The 27,603-nt window shown below is 43.1% G+C and overlaps 1 non-coding gene across 1 annotated transcript, besides 2 other annotated features; it reads right to left on the bottom strand.

Moving 5' to 3' along the window:
* Window positions 1-4,726: 4,726 nt before the first annotated feature.
* LOC124900236 (small nucleolar RNA SNORD46) lies at window positions 4,727-4,830 on the bottom strand. The gene has a single exon (XR_007060651.1). It is a non-coding gene; the product is annotated as a small nucleolar RNA SNORD46 (small nucleolar RNA).
* Window positions 6,523-7,153: an enhancer, noted in NCBI's record as "H3K27ac-H3K4me1 hESC enhancer chr7:132435460-132436090 (GRCh37/hg19 assembly coordinates)". NCBI's record gives its function as "activates a minimal SCP1, AML or CMV promoter by ChIP-STARR-seq in naive H9 embryonic stem cells {active_cell/tissue: H9 hESC(naive)}" and the evidence as "EXISTENCE:reporter gene assay evidence [ECO:0000049][PMID:30033119]".
* Window positions 16,224-17,423: an enhancer, noted in NCBI's record as "CDK7 strongly-dependent group 2 enhancer chr7:132425189-132426388 (GRCh37/hg19 assembly coordinates)". NCBI's record gives its function as "activates an origin of replication core promoter dependent on BRD2, BRD4, P300/CBP, MED14 and CDK7 cofactors, with strong dependence on CDK7, by STARR-seq in HCT116 cells {active_cell/tissue: HCT116}" and the evidence as "EXISTENCE:reporter gene assay evidence [ECO:0000049][PMID:35650434]".

Here is a 27,603-nt window from a genome sequence, read left to right as displayed (position 1 = left end):
CCCATGAGAGTGGGTTGTTATATAGCTGGAGACCCCTCAGGATTCCCCCTCTCCGCACATATTCACTTCCCCTTTGACCTTTCTCCCTGTGTCAATGCAGCAGGAAAGCCCTCGCCAGAAGCCAGGGCCATGCCCTTGAACTTCTCAGCCTGCAGAACCCTGAACTAAATAAACCTCTTTTCTTTATAAATTATCCAGTGGCAGGTTTTTTTTTTTCTTTTAATAGCAAAACAAAATGGACAAAGACAGGGATTCTTAAGAAACATTAAGTGACTGACATGGCTGCTTTTGCTATAAGCAGGCATTTAAGCTCAGCATGTGTAGCAGCTTTAGTGACGGCAAAACTGTTGGAGGCAGGGAAATAAGTCCCTTGGCTGGCAGTGCAAATCTTTGCTGGCTTGGTCCCTCTAGCACCAAGACTATTCTTGACTCTGCAAAAGAACCAAGGGTGAATCCTAGAACTGTAGGCTGTATCAGATTCCACAGCATCACTCTTCATGCGTCTAGAAAGTTCCCCGCACATTCCTATAGGTAGAACGCGTACATAAACAATGACAGGTGCAGACAGGCGAGCCCACTAATTATCACCATCTGGATGAATAGACTGAAGTAAAAAAAAAAACCTATGTGATGGAATTTTCTCCTCTTTGTTTTCTTATTTCTGGTGGCTTAAATACTGTGTTTAGTTTAAATACAGACATGATCCGACCACAAACATTATGGGCGTAAAAGCCAACACAGCCGACTCCATAGAGAGACTGTTGCTTTCAGGTATGAAATAAAAATAGTGTTTGCTGCATCTCCAGGTGTTCCTGTCTCTTCTTGGCATGTGTCACCTCACTCCTCCACAGGACTTCTCTGGGAAGTTAGTTTACTCCCATTTCAGAGAGGAGTAATCGGCAGAGGAGAGTTTAAAAGGCTCAAGGTCACAGACAATAAGTGACAAAGTTGAGATGAAAAGCCACATGGCACATATTAGCTACAAGCAGGTCTAGCCTTGGTTCCTGAACCCAGAGGCAGGGCTGAGAAGAAGGACTGGGTTCATGGCCTCCTAAATAAAGGAAGTGGTAAGGGAAGTCTGGGCCACTGGGCTAGTCTTTGTTCTGATGTTGAAGGAGGAGCGTTTGAAAGGTAATCGTCTGTGTCGAGTGCATTCCACTCCTGTGCTGTGTCTCCTGGCCCTTGGATACTAGGTGTCTCTGCCCTCATGGCTAACAGGTGGGAGAGAAGGTGCTGAGTTCAGCTGCCAGGACACCCTGGGGACAAGTGTCCCTGATCCACTGGACCCCTTCAGCATTTGGGAAGATGAGATTTTCATCTTGAACATCTGGTATTGGCCGATTGGCAGGCTTTACACTGAATCTCTGGCGGTCTGCACCTGGCCTCTCCCAGTGTCTGGAAGACACTGTGTGTGGGGCTGACCTAATCCTTGGGAAATAAGTGAGTGCTAGTGGCCTGCCTGCCTTTTTTTTTTTTTTTTTTTTTTTTTTTTTTTGCAGCCTGGGATCAGAGCCAGGGCTGGTGCAGCTGTGGGGAGCTGGCAATGCCATTCTTGTCCACTAAGCACTGTGGATGCCATTGTTATCCACAGGGCACTGTGGCACTTGGAGATGAAAAAGATGAAGTCCCTGCCTCCCCCATCGAACTTCCCAGGGTAATGCTGGGCTGGAGAACACAGGGTCTGGGCCTGCTCAGGCAGGTTCTTTGGGAGCAGAGGGCAGAAGGGCCCTTTTGCTACTGGGGAAAATGGCTGAGGCAAGGTAAGGCAGAGGTGAAGCAGAGGCAATGGGCCTCTCCAGGCCTCTAGAACCAGACTCTGCAATGTCTGGAGCATGGCACCCCCCCAGGTGACTTATGGAATCTCTTCAGCTTGTTTTACATCTCTGTGACTTTTGCAGGGTTCAGATGGCATAAAGCTGTTGGGCTGGCCAATTTCTTGGGGTCTCTTTTCTTCTGTGGGCAGGGTTGGCACCTGGTAACTCCCTGTGAAAGCAGAAGCATCTCTTCTGCCACTGGTCTCTTTCGAGGTCAGGTCTTGGAGCCTTGTTAAAGGGCAAATGCCATCTGGCAACATTATTTGTTGTAACGCCTTAGTTCCTTCTCTTTGCTTCTGTGGGTGGGGTTGGCACCAGGTAACTCCCTATGAAAGCAGAAGCATCTCTTCTGCCACTGGTCTCTTTTGAGGTCAGGTCTCGGAGCCTTGTTAAAGGGCAAATGCCATCTGGCAATGTTATTAGTTGTAATGCCTTAGTTCCTTCTACAAAGTGAATTTGCTACTTCCCTACCAGGACCCTGGGAGGGCGAGACTTGGGACAGGTCCTGTCTTAGCAAGATGGGAGATGGAGGGAAGAGAGCTGAGAAGGACCCTGGCCATGTGCCCTGTTCCTTGTGGAGAAAGGGAATTTGCTGGAGGACCTGGGCAGATGATAAGCTGGGGCTGGAAGAGTCCTCATGCCTTGTGCATCTTCCCTTGGCTAATTTTAATCTGTATCCTGTAGCTGTAATAAACCATAATTGTGAGTATAACAGCTTTTAGTGAGTTCCATGAGTCTGTCTAGTAAATTATCAAACCTATGGGTAGTCTTGAGAACCCGTCAAACCTTACAGTTGGCGTCAGAATTGAGGGTGATCTTGCGGATGACTGAGATGACTGTTTCTTCAATTACACAGGTGGGTAGAATCATTTACCACCTGAACGCCTTTTAAATGCTGGCTTATGTGCCGAAGCTAACTGACCATAGACAGAGAAACTAGATTGAACATGAGAATCTAGGAAACAGTTCTTGGAACACAGGCTTTTAGCAGCAGGCGTCACAGAAGCTCCCCATGTGATGGGCCTTGGGAGCCTCCAGTGTGGTGACTACCTGAGAAAGCTGGGCTCTGGCGGAAGCACTCACTGCTGCCAGGATGAAGGGAAATCCTAAGTGAAATATGCAAGTTATGATGACCGTAGTAGGTTCTTGTTTGAGGGAGGACTCTGATTTCCATGGTGAAATGGGCACAGCATCTGGGTGGAATAGGGGTGGAAAGATGGGTTGGTAACAGGGAGCCAGAGAAGGAACAGAAGATGAGTCAGAAGCCTGGGATTTTGATCCTAGTATTGCTGCAAACTGGTCATGACCTTGGGGAGGTTAATGATATTGTGGGTCTCCTCATTTGGTGCCTTGAATGTGGGAGCCCATATAGTTGATGGGGCTATGGAGATAGATTCAAGGAGGATCATGGAAGAGAATGTACAATTGGGTACCTTCTCTGCCAAAGGCATGCTGGGGCTTGACTTAATGGAATAATCAGGGTTTTCCAGATAAACAAACATAATTTTATCGCATTTTTTTTTTCCTTGAGACAGGGTCTTGCTCTGTCACCCAGGTTGGAGTGTAGTGGCGCAATTGTGGCTCACTGCAGCCTAGACCTCCCAGGTTCAAGAGATCCTTCTGCCTCAGCCTCTCTAATAGCTGGGACCACAGGTGCTCACATACAACTAATTTTTTTAAAAAAATTTTTGTAGACATGAGGTCTTGCTATGTTGCCCCTGCTGATGTCCTGGCCTCCAGCAGTCTTCCCGTCTCCGCCTCTGAAGTGCTGGGATTATAGTCATGAGCCACTGTGCCTGGCCCAACTTTGTTGCATCCTTGAGGCAAAATTTCTCCTTCTTCAAGAAACCTCAGTCTTTGCTACTAAGGCCTTCAACTGATTGGAGGGGGCTCCCCAAATCAGTTGAATGGAGGGAAATCTGTTTTTGGTCAAAGTCTACTGAATTAAATTTAATCACATCTAGAAAATTATTTAAAAATCATAAAAATTCACAGCAACATTCAGAGTGGTGTTTGACCAAACGGCTGGGCACCATAGCCTAGGCAGGTTGACACATGAAATCCACCATCACACTCTTTTACTTAATGCCCACAGCAACAACAAAAAGGTGGCAGCATTAGGAATCCACAGTGCTGAGGCTGGCTCTGAGGTGGCTCTGTCTTCATCTTCTCATGGTACTATGCTCTATCTTGTAGATGATCCCAAAGATTCCCCAACTGGAACACTTAAACTCCTTGTGACTCTCTTTTTCCCCCTGCAACTATCTTTATTGTGGTTGACTCAACATAAGATGCTATCATAATCAGCAGAATTATAAAACTGCACAGGAGGTACCAAAATAGGCCATTTACCATAGGTAATGACCCTCATATCATCAAACTTTAAAAATACACAGGAAAGTTGTACACTCTAGACATTTATAAAATATATAGCTAAAAAGAAGATATGGGGTTCCCTCTTTGGGAGGCTGAGGTTGGCAGATTACTTGGGCTCAGGAGTTTGAGACCAGCCTGGGCAATGTGGCAAAACCCTGTCTGGACAAAAAATACAAAAATTAGCCAGGGGTGGTGACATGTGCCTGTAGTTCCAGCTACTTGGGGGGTTGAGGTAGGAGGATAGCTTGAACCCAGGAAGTCAAGGTGGCAGCGAGCCGGGATCACCCCACTGCATTCCAGCTTGGGTGACAGGTAAGACCCTGTCTCCAAAAAAATTAAAAAAAGATACGGGGTTCCACAAGGAGGATTATATTACACAATTAATACATACAAATTAAAGAGCCTCCATGGAGAAACCACAATGGCACAGAATTTTTTTTTTAAAGCAACCACATTTTCTATTTTTCCTACTGTTCCTACCCCAAAAGAGCTCCCAGAATTGACCCCGCCTCCCTTTTTGTTCCTTTGTTTCTTTTTAACAGTCAGTGTAACTATGACAAGTCCTTGCATTGGCAAGTGACACACAGGTGGCCAAGGTGGCCACAGCCACACCTGAAGATACTTTTTCATCACTCCAGCACCCCCTTTTCAAAGCAAGGTCATGATCTGCCAGTAGCCACAGCCTTGGCATTGTGTCTCACTCTGACACTTACCAGCTACTTTGTAACCTCTAAGTTTGAATCTCTGCTGAATAGTTCACGGAAAGCCACCATTCCCTTCACAAAGTCGAGAAGACATTTGTGAGGTACCAGGCATTGGTAAGGACTAAGGCCATAATATGACTGAGACACAGACCTGTTTGAGTTGCTCGGTGTAGCCAATCTTGAGAAGATTATGGTACAATGAGCAAATGTTTGGAAGGTGCTTTTCATATTGTAAAATGTAAGCTCTAAGTTTTCACATGCTCATTGTAGACACTGATTGTACACACTTCCCATGAGCCGATGAAAATAATATAGTTGGCTTCATTGTCACTGTGGTAGTGACTACACATTGTGTTATTCTAAGCATTTATTTGCTTAAAGGTTTAAGAAGTATGCTAATTGCTTAACCACTTGTAAAATCTAAGGAAACCCAGAAGAAATGCTAATGAAAAATGTGAACTGATACTCCACAAAGATTTTCACCAAAGAAAGGAAAGAAAGATTAGGAATGAGGGGTATCATTAGGCAGGATTGATTTTTTTAATGCCAAATGCTAAAAATCAAACTTTTACGAGTGAGGAAGAACACAGCATGGAAAATGTTACATCCATGAACCTGAAGACTCCCCTCATTCCCCCATAACTTGTATTCCACTTGGGAAAATGCCTTCTTCCAGGAAGATAAGTTCTGTAGTTCAGCTGCCCCATGATTGGAGAGGGAAGGGGGCAAATTTCTGTTATCCATTCATCACCTATAATGTCATAGATGACTCATTCTCAGGGGAACTATATTTGGGCCCAAGGGTTGAAATTAGAAGAATAATGTTTTCACCCTGAAATGTATGAATAATTAAAACAAATTTTACCAATATAAAAGGATTATTATTCCTTGACCAGTGATTTTAAAGATACACTGATGGTGAGAAAATTAGTTTTCCCAGTTCACATAGGCTGTAATATAACAGTGACCTGGAATTAAAAAAAAAAAAATCCCGAATGGTCCCCTAGAAGCCTAAATTTTGGCCTAGGAAGAGATCAAGGACAGTCTCTGTTCAGATGTCTTTTTAGCAACTATTTAGCGTTCATACCCCCTGGTACTCTCCAAAAAGCTAGTTAAGTCTATTCCCTTTAGTTTAAAAAAAGTCTGTAACTGAGCTTTTTAAATAAATTATTTAAAGTTAAGAACCAAAATAGACTGTGGACAAATAAGGTTTTTGTTCGTGTTCTGCCCCTACTTCTTTTTTCTGGGCCTCAGTTTCTTTATCTTTAAAATGCAGAGGTTGGAAAATGCGTAGGTTTTATCTCTTTCTGTTCCTTCCAGATTCCCGAAATCACAGATCCCTCATATCATGACCTTTCCCCAGTGCCGCTTAGATTGCTCAGGCCGGCGAAGCTGGGGAAATCCCAGTTGATTTCATGAGCTCTGCCTGGAACTGAAGCTTTGTGCTCTCCTTCCTCTTGGCAGGTCCTGGCTGTGCCCGGACTGGTGTGGGCAGGGATGGTAGGCAGGATTCTGGGGCCAGGCAGGGTCCGAGGGCTTACCTCCATCCCTCGGAAGTGCCTCTGAGACAAACATTTGGTGAGGAGGCAGGGGGATGTGTGGGAAGGGGGTTGCTATGGCAACCCCTGAAATGTGCAGGCTCCAGACCCATTGCCTGTCCCCTTTGGCCTCGTGCTGCTCCTAGAGGTCTTTTCTGATGGGAGGGGAACAGGAACAAATATTGGGAGTTACATGGAGATCTGAGCGCATTCCCAGAAATCCTCCCGTAGCCTCCAGCCTCACTACGGCTTCCAGAGGAGAGACCCAGCGCCAAGACCCCATATAGCTCATGCAAGCATGCCGCGGCCAAGAAACAGCTTCTCTGTGCCTCGCAGTCTGTCTACAAGGCCCAACTTAAAGCCCACCTGCTCCCTTCCTCTGGGCCCCTGTGTGTTTGTCAGCACTGATGTGCATTATTTGTATGTAAGTATTCATAAGGTTTCTCAGCTGTTGCAGCCTGCACATCAACAGAGTGGTTAGCCTCCGTAGAAACTGTTTACGTGGTAAGTCATGTGTTTATGCATCAGTAGCATAGGAAGAAATTGCTGGAGTGGGCAGAGAGATCTGTGCTCCGGCATAAGCTATGGATAAATGAGGGGAGGGGAGGTCAGCGTGGGACTTACCCAGAGAAACCAGGGAGCTGAAGAAGAGAGAGGGAAAGTGGGAGGGAGTGGAGAGAAGGGAAGAGGGGGAAGAAAGAGAGTGTGTGGAGAGAGGGAGAGAAGGGAGGGAGAGTGAGATTGAATCATGAGATAAAAGATTAGCTGATGCTTTGGAAAGGAGGTAAGAAAATTAGAGGCAAAGACAGGTACAATTTAATTAGGCAAAAACTACATGTAAACAACACTTCCTGGCTACAGTAAGGAAACAATTTTGGTTTCAGTTCCTGAGCACTGGGGTCTGCAGGTCTCCTGTGCAGGGCGGGCTCTCTGCATTTTTCTCTGAAGCCCCTTGCAGACCCTGTCTGCTGCTGTCTGCAATGGCTGGAGGGGAGTGTAATCCACTTGAAATTCATGAACAAATCCTCGGAATGGCCTCAACTGCTCCCTTTACTCTTCAACCACAAGCCTGTTCCTGCTGAAAAGATTTCTATTCTCTCGGCCACTCCGCTGCCACGGAGCTGTCAATGCAAGCAGCTGTTGGGCCAGGGTATTTGTACACATGTGAGTTCATCACAGTTTGGTGTTTGCGTGGCCAAGCTGATGCCAGATTGGTTCATCCTCTTCTACTCTGTTCCTTCGGCTTTTTTTTCTCAGACTCCCTTGCTTGGAAGAAAGTTCTGGCAAGAGCCTATACGTAAGATATGAAAACAAGATTCTGTGTATGCTATATATAGTTGTGCACAGGTGTTACATAAGAAATTCATGTGCTATGGGTATAAAACGTGGTCAGAAGACCCAGATGCATAAATCTATTTATTCACAGCCACGTGCATTTGTTTGCAAGTGACCTGGTGGTCCCGGCCCTGGTCCAGAGAATTACTTGGGACCATTCAAAATGAACCATACTTGTCAACATGTTCTCAAAGCCAATTAATGAAAAAAGAAAATGTCAAGTTGCTTCCAAATTGATCTAAGTAATATTTTTTAAAAATGTTCCCAATGAAAGTTATTTATGAGACAGTTCCTATCATTTTACAAACAGAAAGCTTTAATGGCTGTTGTCTTTGTGGGGAGAAAATTCAGATTCTGGCTGGTCATTTAGGGTGCTCCACAGTCTGCACCTAGGATTATTTATCTCTAAGGCTGTGTTCACCACTGCTCCTAACACAGAGTTTATTTTTGATTGTATCTTTTGACCACATGAAAACATCAGTTTCTTGGACACATATCATTGACATGCATGATCAATTTGCAGATGGGCCAAGGCTAAGAGGGATAATGAACTTATTTATTCAACTAATGTTGAACACCTAGGCTGAGCTGGGCTTGGTTCTAGCACTGGGCATGCAGCAGGGAAGGAAACAAATAGAAAGCTTGTATGCTAGTGGGGGAGACAGACCCATGTGTCCGGAGGGGTAAGTGTTATGGAGAGCCAACCTGACTGCAGAAAGGTGGCCTCTCCAAGAAGGTGGTCTGTGAGAGGACACCTATATAAAATGAAGGGGAGCATCTACTGAGATTCAGGAGATGGGTGTTTTCGGGCAGTGAGAACAGCAGATGCAAAGTCTCTGAGACAGGAGTATGCTGGGAATATTTGTGCAGCAGCAAGGAAGCCATGTGTGGCTGGGGTGGAGTGAGTGAGGGCAAGAATGATGGGAGGTGAGGGCAGGGAGGCAGCTAAAGCTAGATCGTGCAGAGCGTTCTGGCCATGGTCATGATTTGGGATTTTACTCTGAGTGACATAGGATGCCACTGGCCGGTTTTGAGAGGGGTGATCGACTGTGTCTCATGTGATGACTCTGGCTGCCACCTGCAGAGGAGGCTACAGTGAGGGTCAAGGGCAAAAGCTGAGAGACCAGTTAGGCAGTTATTCTAATAATCTAGATTAGGACTGTGGTGTTTTAGACTAGCTGAGTGATAGAGATAGTGAAAATAGTAGGATTCTGGTGATACTTTGCAGGTAGAGTTGCAAGAATCTGTTATAGAATCAGATACGGAATGGACAGGGGGGTCAGTGATTCTAAGAATTCTGGACTAAGCAATCAGGAACATTGGGAATAGAGCCGTTATTTATTGAGATGGGGAGTAGTCTGGGGGGGGCGTGGTGGAAAACCAAGAGTTCTATTTAAATAGGTTTAAATGAGTCCATTCATTGTGCTATGAGGATATTTAGTAGGCAATTTGATCTATGAGTCTGAAATTCTGGGGAGAAGTTAGGACTTGAGAAATCATGTTGGAAGCTGTTCAGATGACTTTAGAGAGTGGGGGTAGGTAAAGAAGGGAGGAAGTCCAAGGACCCAGCAAAGAGTGGGAAGGAATGGCCAATGGAACAGGAGGAAACCGAGAGGGGGCTTCCTCTGAAGACAATGAAAGAAAGCAAGAGTTCTCTCTCACATTGAGTTGAAATCTCTCAATGGTAGATTTTACACTAATGGTCCCCAATGAATCACATCTGTGGAATCCATACCCTTCTGTTGTCTGCAACCTTGACCCAGGAGGAGGGAATGACCAACTCTGTCATTCTGTCATTCTCTCATGTCATCATGGGAGGTCATTGATGGCAGTTTCAGTTGAGTGGTCCAATTGAAAGGCTGATTATAGTAGGTATTATGGATTGAAAATTGTATCCCCCAGAATTTATGGGTTGAAGCCCTGATTTCCACGTGATGATATTTGGAGATGAGGGCTTTGCGTGCTGCTCCCACTGCCACCTATGCATGTGAAGGAAAGGCCATGTGAAGACACAGAGAGAAGGTGGCTGTCTGCAAGCCGGGAAGAGAGTCCTCACCAGAAATTGAATGTGCTGGCACCTCGACCTGGAACTTGCAGCCTTCAGAACTGTGAGACAATAAATGTTTGCTGTTTAAGCCACCCAGTCTGTGGTACTTTTTATGGCAGACTGAGGAGACTAATATGGTGGGCTAGGAGACAATGGAGGAAAAGTGGCAACAGCTGGAAGGAACAGATTTTGCTAGAAGAGTGTGATCAGGAAAGTTAGGAGAAAACATTGCTATATTTAGAATTTTGGCTTAGAAAGTTCCTAACCATTATGATCAATTTAGTGGGAACTCACTTGTTTGTTTGTTCGCTTGTTTTTTTGTTTTGAGGCAGGGTCTCATTCTATTGCTCAGGCTGGAATGCAGTGGTGTGACAATGGCTCACTGCAGCCTGCATCTCCCAGGCTCAAGTGATCTTCCCACCTCAGCTTCCGGAGTAGCAGGGACCACAGGCACATGCCACCATGTGTGGCTAATTTTTAAATTTTTTGTAGAGATGAGGTCTTGCTATGTTGCCAGGGCTTGTCTTGAACTCCTAGGCTCAAGCAATTCTCCTGCCATGGCCTCCCAAAGTGTTGGGATTATAGGCGCACCATCGCACTTAGCACTTAGCACGTGTAGGTTTAAATGGTAAAGTTTTTATGTGCAGGATTTGAAAGATGTGACTTCACGCAGTTCATGAGAAAAGGCCTTGGATTTATGGCCCTTCATGCAATATGAACCACTGCACAATGAGGATGTCAGAAAGGCCACGTGGACCCTGGCTTGGGCTCCTGGAAGAAGCAGAGCATCTGGAGCAGTGGAATTACAGTGTCCCTAAGGGTCACCGTGCTGGAACATGATGAGTATGTTACTATGCTGAGCCCTGTGCTTGTAAAAGAGAAGGGTAAACCAGAGCACCTTTGGAGAAATTTTTCAATAGTAAAAATCTATTGAAGAATGAAAGGTGTTCAGCTTGGAGAAGACCCAGGAGGGAGAGATCTGTCTTCAGCCATTTGAAGCTTGTCACATGGAAGAGGGCTCATACTTGCTTTTACAAATCAAGTATAGAAGATAAGGGAGAAGTGTTTCAGTTATCTATTTCTCGGTAACGAACCACCTTGGAAATGGAGTGGTTTAAAACAACAATTTATTATTTCTCACAATTTCGTGGGTTGGCTAGGTGGTTCTTCTGCTGGTTTTGTTTTTCCTGGGCTGACATGACTATATTCCCATTGTGATTGGCAAGGCTCTGGGCTCAGCTGAGTCCCTTGAACCATGAGGCCTTTCATCCTCCAGGAGGAAAATTTGGGCTTCCTTGAATGGTGATGGCTGTGAGCCAAGAGTGTAAGCCCCCAAAACAGGACTTATCAAGCCTCCGCTTGCATTACGTTTGTCCCATTAGCTACAGTGACTTTTATGGGCAAGCCCTGGGTCAAGGTTGCAGACAACAGAAGGGTATGGATTCCACAGATGTGATTCATTGGGGACCATTAGTGTAAAATCTACCATTGGCAGATTTCAACTCAATATGAGAGAGAACTTTTAAGCAACTATAGCCATGTAGTTAGCTGCCTTGTGGAATAGTTGGTTCCCTGGTAGTAGAGATATCCCAACTTGAATTCATGTGTTCATTCTCCCATTCATTTAAACATTTTATTAAATACCTATGTTGTGTGAGACACTGGGTTACCTACTATGGAGAATAAAAGATGGCTAGAATAAAGTCTGTGAACTTATGACTTTTACAGACCACTGGTAGAAACGGGGGTGGGGGAAGGAATTATTGAGAGGGACTTATAGGTAAAGTGCAGTAGGAGAGCAGAGAAGAGAGAGAACTTCTAGATGGAGTCGGCGCATGGAAAATAGAGGCGGTCGCTAACATCTTTACAGAAGAGATAATATTTTAGCAGAGGAAAGGGAAATAAACTAATTCCTAATGAGCTCTACTGTGTGCCAGGCACAGTTCCAGGCTCTGTATGAATGGTTCACCCTTTAATCTTTATGACAACTGCGTCATTCCCATTTAACAAGTGAGGATGCTGGATCTCAGTATGTTTACACAAGAATTGTCAAACCTAGAACTTAAGTCTTGCTCTGGCTGGTCCACAGTATATTCCTATGAAAGCAAGGCTGCCTCCATAACATTACCATGTACATTACAATTAAAAAATTTGAAAGTAATTCACATACAAAAGCTCATCCAAGTTGGTTTTTACAGTATGAGGAAACTGTTATCCTCATTTCATAGCTGAAGAAACTGAAACTCAGAGATGTTGATTCTGACAGAGAGGGGGCTTTTGTGATAACTCTTCTCTCTGCCTGGAATGCTGTTTTCCACAACTATGTGGCTGGCTCCCTCCTGTGATTCAGATCTCAGCTTGAATGTCACCTGCTCAGAAAAGTCTTCCCTGATCACCAAGCCCAATGTGGCTCCCAAGTCTTTGGCTCTCACATCATCCTATTTAAATTCTTTGTGTAGCACTTGTTACTGTTTAGATGATCTGTTTCTTCTTTTCTTTTTTTAATTTCCTTAATTGATGATTGTCAGTTTCCCCAGCTAGAAAGTAAACTTCATTAGTAAAAGATTTCAATTTTTGTTTTGTTTTTCAATGCTCAGCTTGATTGTAATTCCACAAATCAGATATGTATGTTATACTTTATATAGTCATATTTATTTTTAGTTTCGCACATTTACTATTTTTTATTGCTTAATAGTCATTCTTACAGTTCACCTTTTTCTAGTATCATTTTTCCACTTCCTAAGGTACATATTTTAGTTCAGACATTCCTTTAGTGGAGGACTGTTGTAATGAGCTTTTTGTATGTCTGAAAATAGCTGCATTTTTCCTTTTTTCTTGAACTATAGTTTCGATGCATATATTTAAAATAATTCTCAGTTGACAGTGATTTTCTTTTTTCTTTTTCTTTTTTCTTTTTGAGAGGGACTCTCACTCTGTCGCCCAGCCTGGAGTGCAGTGGCGCGATCTCAGCTTATTGCAATCTCCGCCTTCCGGGTTCAAGCAATTCTCCTGCCTTAGCCTCCCCAGTAGCTGGGAATACAGATACGTGTCACCATGCCCGGCTAATTTTTTTTGTATTTTTAGTAGAGACGGGATTTCACTGTGTTAGCCAGGATGGTCTGGATCTCCTGACCTCATGAGCTGCCCAACTCAGCCTCCCAAAGTGCTGGGATTACAGGCGTGAGCCACCGCCCCCAGCCAACAGTGATTTTCTCTTAGCATTTTGAAGATACCATTCTACTACTTTTTAGCTTTCATTGTTGCTGTGGAGGTCAGCTGTCCATCTAATCTTTGTAATCTCCATTCCTTGAGTAGTGCTTTTCCCTCTTCTTTTAAAAAACTCCCTGGTTGTTTCTAAGATCTTCTTTTTGACTTTGGTTTTCTACAATTTTATTATGATGTGTCTTGCTTGGAATTGGTTGGATTCCCTGAAACTGAGAAGCAGTGTTGATATGGTTTGGCTGTGTCCCCACCCAAATCTCACCTTGAATTGTAATAATCCCCACATGTCAAGGGTGGGGCCAGGTGGAGATAATTGAATCATGGGGGTGGTTTCCACCATACTGTTCTCGTGGTAGTGAATAAGTCTCACAAGAACTGGTGGTTTTATAAGTGGAAGTTTTCCTGCACAAACTCACTCTTGCCTTCTACCATGTAAGATGTGTCTTTGCTTTCCACCATGATTGTAAGGCCTCCCCAGCCATGTAGAACTGTGAGTCAATTAAACCTCTTTTCTTTATAAATTACTCAGTCCTGCATATGTTTTTATTTAGCAGCGTGAGAACGGTCTAATACAGATGTCAACTCTGAAAAATTTAAAGCCATTATTTTTTCAAATATTTCTTCTTCCTTTTCCTATTTGCATATTCTGGGACCCCAATTATACTTGTGTTGCATCTTCTCATTCATTCTTTCCTGTCTTTTTACCACTTATTTATATTTTTCACCTTTTTCTCCCTGGTGCATTCTGGGTAATTTTTCAGCTATATCTTACAGTTTGCCAGATACATTTTGCTGTGTCTAATGTGCTGTTTGACCCATCCAATGAGTTTTGAATTTAATTTATTATGATTTCATTTTAAGGTAAGTTATATTTGGTTTTTAAAACTATTTGGTTTGACTTTGATAGTCTCTTGCTCCTTTGTAATATTATAAATTCCCTTTTATTTCTTTATATTAAACTTATTTAAAATTCTTTATGTGACAATTCAATACCTGTAGGCTCTATGGGTCTGATTCTGCAATTTATTGTTTCTGCTGATTCTTATTCACGTTGGCTTGTATTCCCATGCATGTAGGGATTTGCTCTTTATTTGTAAAAATTACAAGAGGTCTAAGTTGAGGATTCATTCCTTCAGAGAGGATTTGTGTTGTTTTTGCCAGATGCTTAGAGCACTATTCATCTGGAAACACTTTAAACTGTTTGGAGTTTTAAATTTTTACCTTCTGGACCCACAGGTGGTATGAATTCCAGCCTTGAAGCCTTATAAATATTAGCCTGTGGTAGGAAATATTAGGTAAGATGTTTTTCTCCCTGCCACCTTCTTACTCTAAGGGCCAAGGCTGAGTCAGAAAAATCCTTTTTTGTGGTGCCACTGAGGTGTCATTTCATGGGCATTCCTGCTAATAAAAGTCCCATTCTACTCGGGTCCTAGGATTTTTCTCCAGTCTCATGTGTGTCTCTTATGTGTCTTATATGTCTCTAGGCCATTAGGAAATCCAAGGATTTCCTAAAGGAAAATGCTTCTGTGGCTTACTTATCCCCATTGAATTTTATTTCCTAATATTTATTTCCTCTGATTGTTTTCCTTATTCTCCTGCTAACTCAGCCATGATCTAAAAATATGTTTTATGTTTAGCCAGTATTTTGATGTTCTATACTGGGAAGGTGCTCTCTTCTCATTTAGTTCAACATTTGCCAGAAGCAAAAGCACCTATTCTTATTCCACACCACACTACTTTGCCTTCAAGCCCAAAGAAAACATTCAGAGATGTGGCTGAAAGTCATTTTTGTAGTGAACAGTGTTACCAGGATCCTGTTCCCTGTTGTTAGAATTTCCCTCTTTCTCCTAGCCCTCTAACCATAAAGAAAATCAAGAGTCTTGGTATAAAATGAAGGGCCAATATAGCTGGATCATGGTAAGAAATGGGAAAAGAGAAATGAGAATAAGTTCGAGATATAGATTGGAATCAGATTGTGAAAGACTATTTGGGGGGCACTGGTTTTTATTTTGAGTCAACTGGGAAGCCACTGAAGGGTATTAAACAGGAGAGGGATGTGAACTAATTTTATTTAAAAAATACAAATGTGGATGACAAATTCTTGAAGAGCAGAAATGGGAAAGGGACACAGGTTAGAAGGCTACTGCAGGAGTGCAGATAAGAAAAGAGGCAGGTTGAGGTAGCATGGTAATCATGAGATGCAAAAATGTAGATGGGTACATTATCTGTTGTTGTGTAACTACCCCCAAATTTAGCAGCTTAAAACAATAAACACTTGTATTTCACAGTTTCTGAGGACTGAAAATCTAGGAGCAACTTAACTGGGTGTTTCTGAATCACTGTCTCTTATGACGTTAAATTGAATCATTGTCTGGGGCTGCAGCCATCTCAAGGTTAAAGTGGACTGAAGAATTCACTTCAGAGCTCACTTGTGTGATTGTTGGAAGGCTCAGTTCCTTGCTGGCTGTTGGCCAGAGGCTTTCATTCCCTGCCACGTGAGCAATGTTTTCTTAATCTAATCTCTAAGTGAGATGCCGTCAACTTGGCCACATGTTATTGGTCATGCAGTTCAAACCCTTGTACAATGTGGGAGGGGACTACACAGGGTATGGATATCAGGAAGCGGGGCTCTTTGGGGGCCATTTGGGGCTGCCTACCATAATGAGTATGAAATCTACTTTAGTTGTAGAACAAACAAGACTTTACTCATGAATTTGTTGTGGAATATGAGGAAAAGGGAAGCGTCAAGGATGGCTTCTGGGTTTTTGGTTTGAGCTACTTACTACCGCGGGAGCCACTGGAAGAGAAACATGTTGGAAGCCAGGAGAAATCAAGAGTTGTATTTTCAACTTCTGAAGTTTGTGAAGCATTTTAGATACCCAGTGAACATGCCAAGTAAGCAGTTTGAATGAATAATTCTGGAACTCAGGGGAGAGCTCAAACAGAAGATTAAATTTGGGAATCATAGCCTGTGGATGGATTTAAAACCTAGGCACTGGACAAGATCGCTGAATTGCAGTCATTCTCAAGCTTAGCTGCCTATTAAAAGCTTTAAAACATTCCAACACCAGGCCATTCTCCAAATCAATGAAATCAATATCTCTGGGGGTGGCACCCAGCCACGAGTATTTTTAAAGCTCCCTAGTGATTCTAATGTACAGCTAAGTATGAGGACCATTGACAAGGGAGAAAATGTCAATGAGAAGAGAAGGGATCCCGAGACCTCTTCGTGTGTGTGAGGGTAGAGGATCATAGTGTTGCAGAGAGATAAAGCGATGGCAGAAGGCACAGCCTCTTTCACAGTACCTGAGAATTTGGTTGATCTTGCGGTTCGTGTGCTCTTGAACCACTGAATTCCACATACAGAGGTTATCATTTGTGGCAAATTGAGAGCATAAATAACCTTGGAATTTCAAAATGTAAGAAGCCGAGTACACTGATTCCATTTTGCAAGGCAATCAGACTTAATTAGACCCAAAGTATTTACCAAGCATTCTTCTGGCCTTTTTAATTAGGGATGAAAGTTAAGCAATTTTGAATCTGACAGTCTTTAAGAGTGGATGATTTTGTGCAAAGACGTGGCCGGATTCCAGCTGGAAGTTTCTGAATTCAGGCTATAAGAGGGAAAAGAGTTAAGTATCCAGCCCAGTTTAACTTCAAGTTAACAATAATATCCCAGTTTTTACATGTGTAAAGATTTTGTGCACTTCATTGTTAAGTAGATATTTGGAGATATTTTTCCATTTGTGGGGGTTTGTGCATTTGAGAGATTCATTTTCTAATATCAAGGCCTCTATTTTCTACCCTGTTACCTCAGACTTTTGCAGATTGGTGTACTTTAGTGAGCTAAGAGATAAATAGCTTACAGCTATGTTCTCAACCATTCTTCCTGAGATGTTGAAACTGTGATCTTGACTCCATTAACTTATTTTCCATGACTCTTGACTAACAAATTGAACAGGTCAAATTTATAACTATTTATAAATAACAAGGTAATTTACAACTTGGAAAGTATATAGCATATTCCCTCATCCCATACCTACACCTGATTGGGATATTTTAAAAGATATTAATTTGTCTATGTTTTTGTTTATGATTAAGAGGATTGTTAAGGGAACCCCCAAATGCTCTATATTTGGAGTCTAAAGACCTAGGTTCAAGATTTAGCTCTATCACCTGCTGGCTATAAGCCCTAAGGCAAGCTTTATCTTATTAAACCTGTTTCTTCCTCTGTAAAATGAACTTGATCCCTGTCTTACCTGTTTCCTGAAGTCATCGTCCACATAGAATGGGGTAACTTGCTTTGAGAAGTGTACAGAAATATGTAAATATAAACAGCCTTATCTTCCTGATGTGAGGATTTGCTGCATTCACCATTTCTCCTCTTCTGGGCGTATGTACAAGCCATTCACCTGCTTTGGGCATCTGCTTCCTAGCCTTCTTGCCATCTGGTCTTTCCTTCCTTCCAAATCTCGTGGCACAAAGCTCATACCTCTTCAGTAAGTCCTCTTTGATTAACTCCATCTCACCTGGATCGTCCTTGATGTTTTTCTCCAACGCCAGAATATGATGTTCTCTTTAAATTAAATACCATATACTTGTGTGTTTCTGCCAAGTGTTCATTCTGGCTTCTCATTAAATTGTTAGCTTTTGGAGGGCAGTGACTGGAGATTATTTCCCACATTTGCAGCAGGCATCAACAGCAAAGTCCTGTTCATCAGTGTGGACCACTAACTTGTCTTTACATCCCACGTGCATTTCTCACTGATCTTCACAAATTAGCATTACCCAAAAAGCAATCAAGTTTAGGATGTTTGTAGACATTTTCCTGCATGTATAACTCAGTCTTTTCCTTATTAAAGCAATGCCTGGCTCTCAAAGTTTTATTGGTATCAAAGTTTTAATTGAGTATCAGCCAGTGAGGGAGGGAACAGAAGCATTCATTTTTGGTTTTCATTCGCAGGAGTGTGTCTCCATCAGCACACCACTGAGATTTCAACATCGCTATCCTTCCTTCCTTCTCTTTCAAGTCATTCCAAGCCCAGCGATATTCGAAGGGATGAGTCATTGTCTAAATGTGGAGGCTGTCATTCTGCATGCACAACTGTGCTGGCTTGGGTACCATCCCAGTCTGTGATGGGAAGCATGGCTCTGACCTCACAGGGAAGAGAATTCTGAATGTAATCCTCTGTAAACTTAGAAGTGACATAAATCATGATTTGATCTTTTTTGGGGACTCAAGCTGATGCTCTGGGGATTTACATAATGAACAGACTGCTGCAGTGCAGTAGAAATAACACCATTCTTGGAGACAGGAGACCTCAGTTGGAGTCTAGCTCTTGCACTCACTAGTTGTGTGACCTTGGGAAAGCCATGTTACCCCTCTGGACCTCAGAGAGGAAGCAGGTTAAACTGGATCATCTTAAAGTTAGTTTCCATAAGGACCCAAAATTCTACTGAAAGTTATAAGATAATGCGAACCTAATCAACAAGGACTTTGTAATGTTTTCTTGGTCTCCTAATGTTTCTGCTGATCTGGAGAGGTGGTGGGGAGAGGGAGACTCTTCGGGAGTAACTTTCTGGATGTCTAGCAGATACATATGTAACAGGTTGTGAAAGGAAACCAGAAATGAGAGTGGAAATGGGGAAAGAGATGAAAGAAAAGTAGAAAAGAGGACGTTCTGTGTTTCCCTCCACACTGCCATCCCTCTGGTTAATTGTAGGTTTCTGACTGCTTCCAAGCTATCCAGGGTAGTTACTGATATCATGCAAGGCACAGGGTGTGAACCTGCATCAGCCCCAATTCAGGGCTGGGATGATCCCCCAAATCATTGTGTTTCAGGGACAAATGTTTATGGGCATTCTGTCTGCCCTGAGAGGCTAAACCCACTGACCTGGGACACTCAGGTGTTGAGCCCTAGTCCTAAATTGTGGCTTTCTTGATTATTACTTGTCAGGGTTATTGTTTCTTAAACCTGCCTTCCGAAAGAAGTGTCTTGTGACAAAACCAGCCTGGAAAATATGCTGGGTTGGATGAAATCAAACAGATTTCTACATTGCAAGGTTTCTTAGAGTCTTTTATTGCTAAATGTATACTGCGTATACTGCTAACATCTAAGAGGGGAGTATAATATGCAACATTTCTTAAACTTATTTGATCATGCAGACCCCTCCACTCAAACTCAACCTCTATTTATTTACTTACAAGACTTCTAATAGACCTCTGAGAAGCAGCTTTTTGGGAAATACTGCTCTAAGTTGATGACTGTCTAGAATGTTCCACCCTAAACCTCATCCCTTTGGGAGGTCAGTCCTGATTAAGTCCAGGAGGATGGATGAGTCAGGGCTGACAGTGCCATTCCTGGCACCATTCCTCTTTAATGAAAACCTGAAAACCAAGAAAGGAGATTGGACCACGTGTTCAAACAAAGGCTATGTGAGTCAAGTGAGTGTTATATTAGGGATCCTGCATCCATATGACTTTCAAAGCCCCAGATGCTTTCCACAAGATGAAATAGTTAGAAGCGATTTCATCCACTCCTAGCCCCCACCACCACCCCTGCCTCGCCCTCCCCAGGCCCCATCTGAGATGTCAGTCACCCGCCTGGCATTCCCAACAAGCCTGTTTGTGAGTGCCTCAGTGATAGGAGGCTTCCTGTATTCATTACATCTTTGAATGGCTCTGTTTAGTGAAAGTCTTGCCATAGACAACTCCTCAAAAGAATTTTGCTCCCTGGGAGAGACTCTTTTCCCATTCATTTCTTAACAGATATTTATTGAGCACTTACAATGAGTAGGAAATAATGAGTGATCAAAGGTATAGAACAGTATCCTGACCTCAGGAAGCAAGGAAGACATGTACACAAAGAAATAGGAGGGTGCTTATGGCTGGAGGTGAGAAAGTGCTGGGAGTATCAGAGAAGGGAGAGACCAATTTCTGCTAAGGTACCCAGAGAAGCTTTAAAGAGCGGGCAGCCTCTGAACCATGCCTTGGGATGAGATTGGGGGTGGTGGTCAGGTAAGGGCATTAAAGATAGAAGGAGTGGCCATGGGAGGCAGGACTGGGGGCAGGTTCTCAGGAGTGCACACCCGTGAGTTGGGGATTTGGGGATGATAAGCAATAGCACCAGTGGCTTCAGTCCCAGGAGGATTTATTGGAAGAACACAGGGGTCTCTGCCAGGGCAGGGAAGCTGTGGGGACTCCCAGCAGCAGCTGCTCATGAACTTCCTCTTCCAGGCCCTGCCCCAGGCCCCTCTATCCCTGTATGTCTCTGAGCATGCAGGTTCCCAGGAGAGAGAGCACGGATGCCTGAGGGAGGGTCATGACACCACCTCTGGGGTCTGTTGCAAAAAGAAGGGGAAGGTAATAATGAAGCATGTGAAAAGTGCTTGGAATGGTGCCAGGCATCTAAGAATTGCTAAATTATACAATGTAAAGTATATAAATTATGCTGGGCAGTAAAAGCAATACTCCCCCAGAAAGCATCTTATGGAAGATCAGTCTGCAAGAATAGTTTGGGTCAAGGTTAAGAAGGGGTGTGTGGTGGGGGGAGGGAAAAGGGGATGGCAGTGAAGGCTTTCAGCATGGAGCAAAAGGGTCAAGGTAGCAAGATTCTTGTAGGGGCAGTGTGGGATGGACTGACAGTGGGGATCAGTAGAAGTATTGTAGCCGTCCTAGACTTAAGAGCGGGGTTAAGATCACAGATGGCAGCAGGAATGGTTGGAGTGGAGATGGAGGGGCCTCATTCTAACTCTCTGCGTGGTACCGTGTGAATCCCCTCACTGGACAAGGCTTTTGGCCTTCCTCTGGTCTACTTTAAACCTCGGCGCTGTCTGACCTGGTTTCTGTATCAACCACAAATTTTCCCTGGTAGTGAAAGTGCTCAAGGATGCCTAGCAGCCAAGGCTGGGGGTGCTTGTCGTGGTGGGAGGGGCAATTCCAGGAAGAGAAGTGGACAGTGTGGGTTCCTGGGGCAGAGGTTCCCAAATGCCAGTCCATAGAGAGATGCCATGAGACAGGTGGCAAAGCTTTCATCCTTCTCAGTGAAAACACTGGTGTAAGGTTAGCAGCTGTCCCTCTGATGGGCCATCCTTAGCTTGGAAATTGTGCTCTTGCTTTTCCTGTAGATATATTCAAATATCCTCTCCCCTCACACCACTCACCCGTCTGCACCTCCCCTCTCCTTTTTGAATAAAATAATGGTCAAAGTGGATGGTAGGACGTTTTCCTCCTTAATTGTCCTCACTTAGCAAACCAAAGAACTGACAATTCCCATTTTTAAGTTGTATAAGTCTATGGATTCTAAAAGTCTGGGAAAAATTGATGGCAGACTAGATACACAGGGTTATCTCTCCTCCTTCCCCATATCCATGAAGATGACAAAAGAAATAGGAAAAAGTCATAAAGGTTTAAGACTTTGGAGGGGTACCACTGAGAGAGATCAGAAGAGTGAAGAATATATATACATATTTTGAGACGGAGTCTTGCTCTGTCACCCAGGCTGGAGTGCAGTGGCATGATCTCGACTCACTGCAACCTCCACCTCCCAGGTTCAAGTGATTCTCGTGCCTTAGCCTCAGGGTAGCTGGGATTACAGGTGTGCACCATCATGCTCAGCTAATTTTTGTAATTTTAGTAGAGATGGGGTTTCCTCATGTTGGCCAGGCTGGTCTCAAACTCCTGACCTCAGGTGATTCACCCATCTTGGCCTCCCAAAATGCTGGGATCACAGGTGTGAGCCACCATGCCCGGCCAGAAGAGCGAAGAATTTCTGAAACATAATTAGGTCAATGAATGCATGGGGAAGTAACATAAAAAGAAACATGAACGGCCAAAGAAGCATGGAAGTAGGCTCAGTTTTCCTAATAATTAAATGCAAATCAAAACAAAAATGAGATACCATTGTTTTGGTCTTATAGATTAGCAAACCTTTTATAAGTTTGATAAAAATGCAGTGTTCTGTGTGGTCAGGATGCAGAGAAACTATCCTTTTCATGGTTGGTGTTTCATATGTAAGTTATGAACTTCTGAAGGGAAATTGGGTAATATCTGTCAAATAAACATATATAACACACCTTTTGGATTCAGCGATTCTACTCTCTTAACTGACTTTCAATTACCCAGCTCCCAGTTCCTGCGGTAACACGCTCTGATAGATGCCAGGAATGCACTAAAGGCTTCATAGAGTTTCTTGCCTTCTAAGAATCTACTCTGTTTATTCCCAAACCTGTTGTACTTGGTGATCTTGTAATTTTATCACAATTATGTGAATCTTTGAAATCTGAGTGGAAAAGTAGTGTTTTTTTTTTTTTTTAACTACAAGTACTGCTTTGAATATATTTTTTTAGAGGAAAAAAATAAACTTTTTATGTTTAACAGTGTGGAGATGGTTGATGAATTCTGATTCATCCCTGAGATGAAATATTATTCTGCTAATAAAATTATGTTCTCAAAGGAAATGCCAAGTGAAAACAATAAAGATATATAATTATGTTTCAGTGGGATTCTGATGTTATAAATATACATATTGGTTTACAGTGCCTCTGGATGGTGGTAATACAAGTGATTTTCATTTTGTTCTTGATACTTACTTTCCAAATTCTATATAATGACTACGTATTACTTTAGTCATCATGAAAATACATTTAAGAAACTTATTTTCTGAACATACGTTGATAATAATCATAATAAAAAATTGCTAGTACCTAGCTGATAAACTAGCAATCTCATGCAAGTTAAATAAAGGACTTCCATGAATTTGTTTTCAATAGAGCACTGGCCTACTCTCAAGGCCAGAGTCACAGGATTATCAGCTACATTATTGGTTAATGGGAGACAAGACACGTATAGCTCAGGATAAGACCAGCTACTGAGATGAGGGGCAGAGGTGGGTAATGTGGGCTGGACACATTAGTTTAGAGGGGCCAGGAATGCAAATGCGAAATTTTGTATTCCAAATTTTCTTGGTCAGTGACTCCTTTTTGTTTTAAATTGGGAAATATTTTAGATATTTTAAAAAACTCCAGAGACTATTTAATGAATACTGAAATGGGAAAGGTTCCCTTGTCCCCCTCGAAGGGTTTGCCACAGAGGGAGTAGCTCGCTTCTTCAGTGCCCGGCTGCTCCAACCTCTAGATGAGCATACAGACGAGCAGGCTCTGGGTCTCTGACCCCACGGTAGTGTCCACGGGTGAATGTTTACAGCTCCTGAAGCCCCAGTGGGCGTGTGTTGCTGTGTGCTCTTTTCGTTTGCCGTCTATAGGAGGCTTGTGTTAACCAGCTCAATTAGACCCTCTACCTGTTGCAAGGACAGAGGGCTTTCTGTATCCTGGGTTCTTACCTTGGTGTACCGGAAGGATCGAATCACATGTGGGCTTGGAGAATGAGTGCAAAGTTTTATCGAGTGGAAGTAGCTCTCCGCCGATGGGGGAGCCAGAAGGGAGATGGTTTTTCCCTGGAGTTCCTCCGATTGCCCCAGCCAAACTCTGCCTTGTCCTGCGGGTTGTGAGACCAGCCAGAGTGCGGGTGTCCCTCTGTTGGTGTGTTCTTCTGCCAGCATGCTCCCCTCGATGTCCCCTCGATATCCAGCTGCTTGTCTTCTTCCGCCAACGTGTTCCTCTCACCGTCCAACAGCTTCTGTCTCTGCCTTGCTAGGGTATCCGGTTTTTATAGGCTCAGGTGGGGGCGTGGCAAGCCAGGGTGGTCTTGGGAAATGCAATGTTTTGGGAGAAGTCAGAAGTGCCTGTCCTCACCTGGGTCCCTAGGGTAGAGCCCTAACCAGGGACCACGCCCTCCTCTACCCAGCCCTTCCCCTCCCTTCTTCCTTTCACTTAAAGGGACCACGCCCTTCCCTTCCCAGCACTCCTGTATGAATACTATGCATCTTCCTCTCAGTTTAAGAAACAAAATATGTAAGTATAGTTGAAACCCACCATAGTTATTTTGTCCCAAGATGAAACAAGTGTTCTAACTTTGATGTTTTCATTTCCATGCATCACGTATTTATACGTTTAATATCTACACTTTTTTTTTTTTTTTTAAGAGACAGGGAGGGTCTTGCTTGGTTGCCCAGGCAGGAGTACAGTGGTAGGATCATAGCTCCCTGCAACCTCAAACTCCTGGGATCAACCGATCCTCCATCCTCAGTCTCCAGAGTAGCTGGGACTACAGGCATGCACCACCACACCTGGCTAATTTTTAAATTTTTTTGTAGAGACAGGGTCTTGCTATGTTGCCCAGGCTACTCTTGAACTCCTGGCCTCAAGTAATCCTCTGGCCTTGGCCTCCCAAACTGCTGGGTTTACAGGCTACTGTAATCCCATGGAGCCACAGCATCTGGCCACATATGTCCTTAATATCTTGCTTTGTGTACTTTTTACTTTATATAAAGGCATCATACTGCATATATCTGCCTGAAAATTTTTTTTGTACAATGGATCCAAATTGATACATGTTAAGCCCTAGGTTTCTTAATTTTGACAACTATGCACTTTTCCATTACATCATTATTTATGTATTCTGTTGATAAACATGTGTGTTGTTTCCAAGTCTTTTTCTGTTAGAAGCAAAGCTATGATACACATTGTCATGCATTCAAGATTTTTCCCAGAAGAGTAGATTTTAGGTGCTCTTACTATATATAAAAAAACTGGGCAAATTTGTGGGAAAATTGATATTTTAATGCAATATAGTAACTATTAATATTTCATTCTCTATATGTATATTAAAACATCATGTTATGTACTTTAAATATGTATAATAAAATTAAAACAGAAAAAAGAAAGAAGAAATAATCTTATATTTAAACCCCTAAAAATAAAAAATTCTGCATGTGAAAAAGTTAATAGAAATTTAAAAGTAAATAAAAGATTGGGTTCAAATGTAAGCAAATAACCAAGGTTTATATCTTTATAACCCCCCGACCCCCAATGTTTTTCTGCGTCTATGGAGGTGTTTATCTAACATTTTAAATTATCTTCGTAATGATCCTGGAGCTAGGCAGCTCATTTGATGGAAACTATGAGATGAGGTAAAGATTCTTGTGAAGACCAATTCCTTAAAGTTTTTCAGAACATCACCCTCCAAGAGGGCATTTCAAATGTCACCTCCCACAGTAAGGGAGTTGGAAAAGAATGCGGGTATTGTCACACGCTGCCAGTAATTCATCACGCGGTAAATGGGGATGTGTGAGCTGGAGTGTTGTGATAGCTAGGGACTGTTATAGAAGAACTGAAGAACAGCATGCTTCACACCAGGTTATTTGAACAATATATGATTATTATGGGCCAATGCCTGGGGCTTGGATATGTTTTTGTTAAGGTGAAATTTTCTTTGTAATAGAATTGGTTATAATGGGATTTGATCTCCATTCATCTCACTTACCCGTTCTCCCTCTGGCTGCTTTGATCGCTCTTGCTCTCTTTGCAGCAGTCAACTCAGCGTGTCTAAGGACCCAAGCATGCCTCTAATTTGTGACCAAAAGCTCTCCAATGAGGCTGTCCTTGTAAGCCTTAGATCTCTTTGATTTACCAAACATTCATCCATCATTGATGGCCTCACTCAATCTGCCTTACAACGTGTTTATTGTCTTACTTAGCTTGTGCCCCTTGGAACTCTCCTGGCCTGTTTAGACGCATCCTGGTTTGTCACACGTTATGGATGATGAACAGTTATGTTCTGGAGGGTTCTGAGGTTTTGCCCCTGGCCAGGGTGAGTGCCGTGTCTGTCTGGGCATGGGTAGCAGGCCGCCATTAGAGGATGATGCTCATTTGCTTCACATCCCAGGTTTTGAAAGGCACATCTGCCAACCATCTTGCAAGAATGTTTGGAGTTAAATTGCTACGTTTGACCAAGGAAAAGGGTGGGCATGATGCAAGATGCCACCCACCAAATCGCCACTGCAGCCTACACCATTCAAAGGCCATGCCCTATGGGCACTGGTTTTGTTGGCCAATGTTTGTGCACATAAATAAGTTCTCTTCTCCTGAGTTGCTGTGTTAAGTATGTTAAACATTGGCTGTGTCCACCTAATCAGTTTCTTCCCTTTCTTGTTCTGTACATAGGTTGATTCTGCAAGAAGGTGAAATGCAGGAAATTGTCCAATGGCATTTCACTTAAGGGGTGGTAAAGGGCTCCTCCCTAGACATGTTTCCTTAGCTGAAGGGCCTGTGATCCTACCATTCATGGCTTCCAGGAAAATGTGACGATCATGGTTGGGGAATGTAAATTGCCGTCACTTTGATTAATTAATTAATTAGCTTAGCCAGAGGTTTGAGGCTCACAGAAAGTGCAATACGATGTTTATTCATTCTGAAAACTTTTCATAAAGAGGGGGCACGTGCTGTGTCAGGGACTAGTGATCCAAAGATATTGCCCACATCTTGCTGTGCTCTGCCCTAGGTAGGGGCATAGTCTAGGGGTATGTTTGAAAGAGCACTGAACCTGGGAGCTGTGCACCTTGAATTCTGATGCCAATCCTGTACCAGATCTGAGAGCTGGCTGAGCCAGGGAGTCTTTGGGGCCACCATTTCCACATCTTTATAGTGGGAAGAGGGTGGAATAGGATCTCTAAAGTCCCTTCTAAGTTTGCCTGCTGTGAGTGTACAGGTGTTTATTTTTCTTGGATAGGTATTAACATCTGTGTGGTTCACACATCAGTACAAAATGTCCTTCCCTCCCTGTGCCTCACCTGCTCCTCTCCCTACTCAAGCAGCCACCACTGGTGTTAGTTTCTTACCTTCAGAGATTTAAGAAATGTAAGTAAAAGCTAATGCAAGTCTAAATTCTTTATCCCTCTTTCTTTTTATATTTTGATATGGGGCCTCACTCTGTCACCCAGGTTGGAGTGCAGTGGTGCAAACCTGGCTTCCTGCAGCCTTGACCTCTTGGGCTCAAGTGATCCTCCCACCCTAGCCTCCCAGGTAGCTGGGACAACAGGCATGCACCATCATCCTTGCCTAATTTATTTATTTATTTTGTAGAGATGGAGTCTCCCTATGTTGCCCAGGCTGGTCTTGAACTCCTGAGCTCCAGTGATCCTCCTGCCCTGGCCTCCCAGACTGCTGGGATTACAGGCATAAGCCACCATGCCCAGCCCCTTCTTTCATCTAACATAAGATATGGCATACTATAAACAGTGTTCTACATCTTGCTTTTTCTCCCCCAATTAACAATGTATCTTGAATCTTTCCATGTCAATATAGAGCTTCTTCAATTTTTTTATAGCTATATAGAATTCCATTGTACATATGTTCAATACTTTAACTAGTTCCCATACAGATGACAATTTGGCTGTTTCCATTCTTTTACTGCTATAAGCAATGCCAAAATGTATAAGGTTGTATTTATATCATTTTGCTTGCTGCTAAGTGTGTCAGTAAGATAATTCCTAGAAGCGGAGTTTCTAGGTCAAAGATACACATTCTGGTAATTTTGAAAGTGTGATTTTTTTTTTCATCTTTTTTTCTGACATCACCTCTGACATCAAATGTATGTGGGGTTTCCAATACCAAGTCTCTGATTTTCCGGCACCAACTGTGTGTACAACCATTCAATTCAATTTTGACAG

The sequence above is a fragment of the Homo sapiens genome, chromosome 7, assembly GCF_000001405.40.
Source record: "Homo sapiens chromosome 7, GRCh38.p14 Primary Assembly".
In the NCBI taxonomy this organism is placed as follows: Eukaryota; Metazoa; Chordata; class Mammalia; order Primates; family Hominidae; genus Homo; species Homo sapiens.
This window is presented reverse-complemented; position numbering and strand designations above follow the sequence as displayed.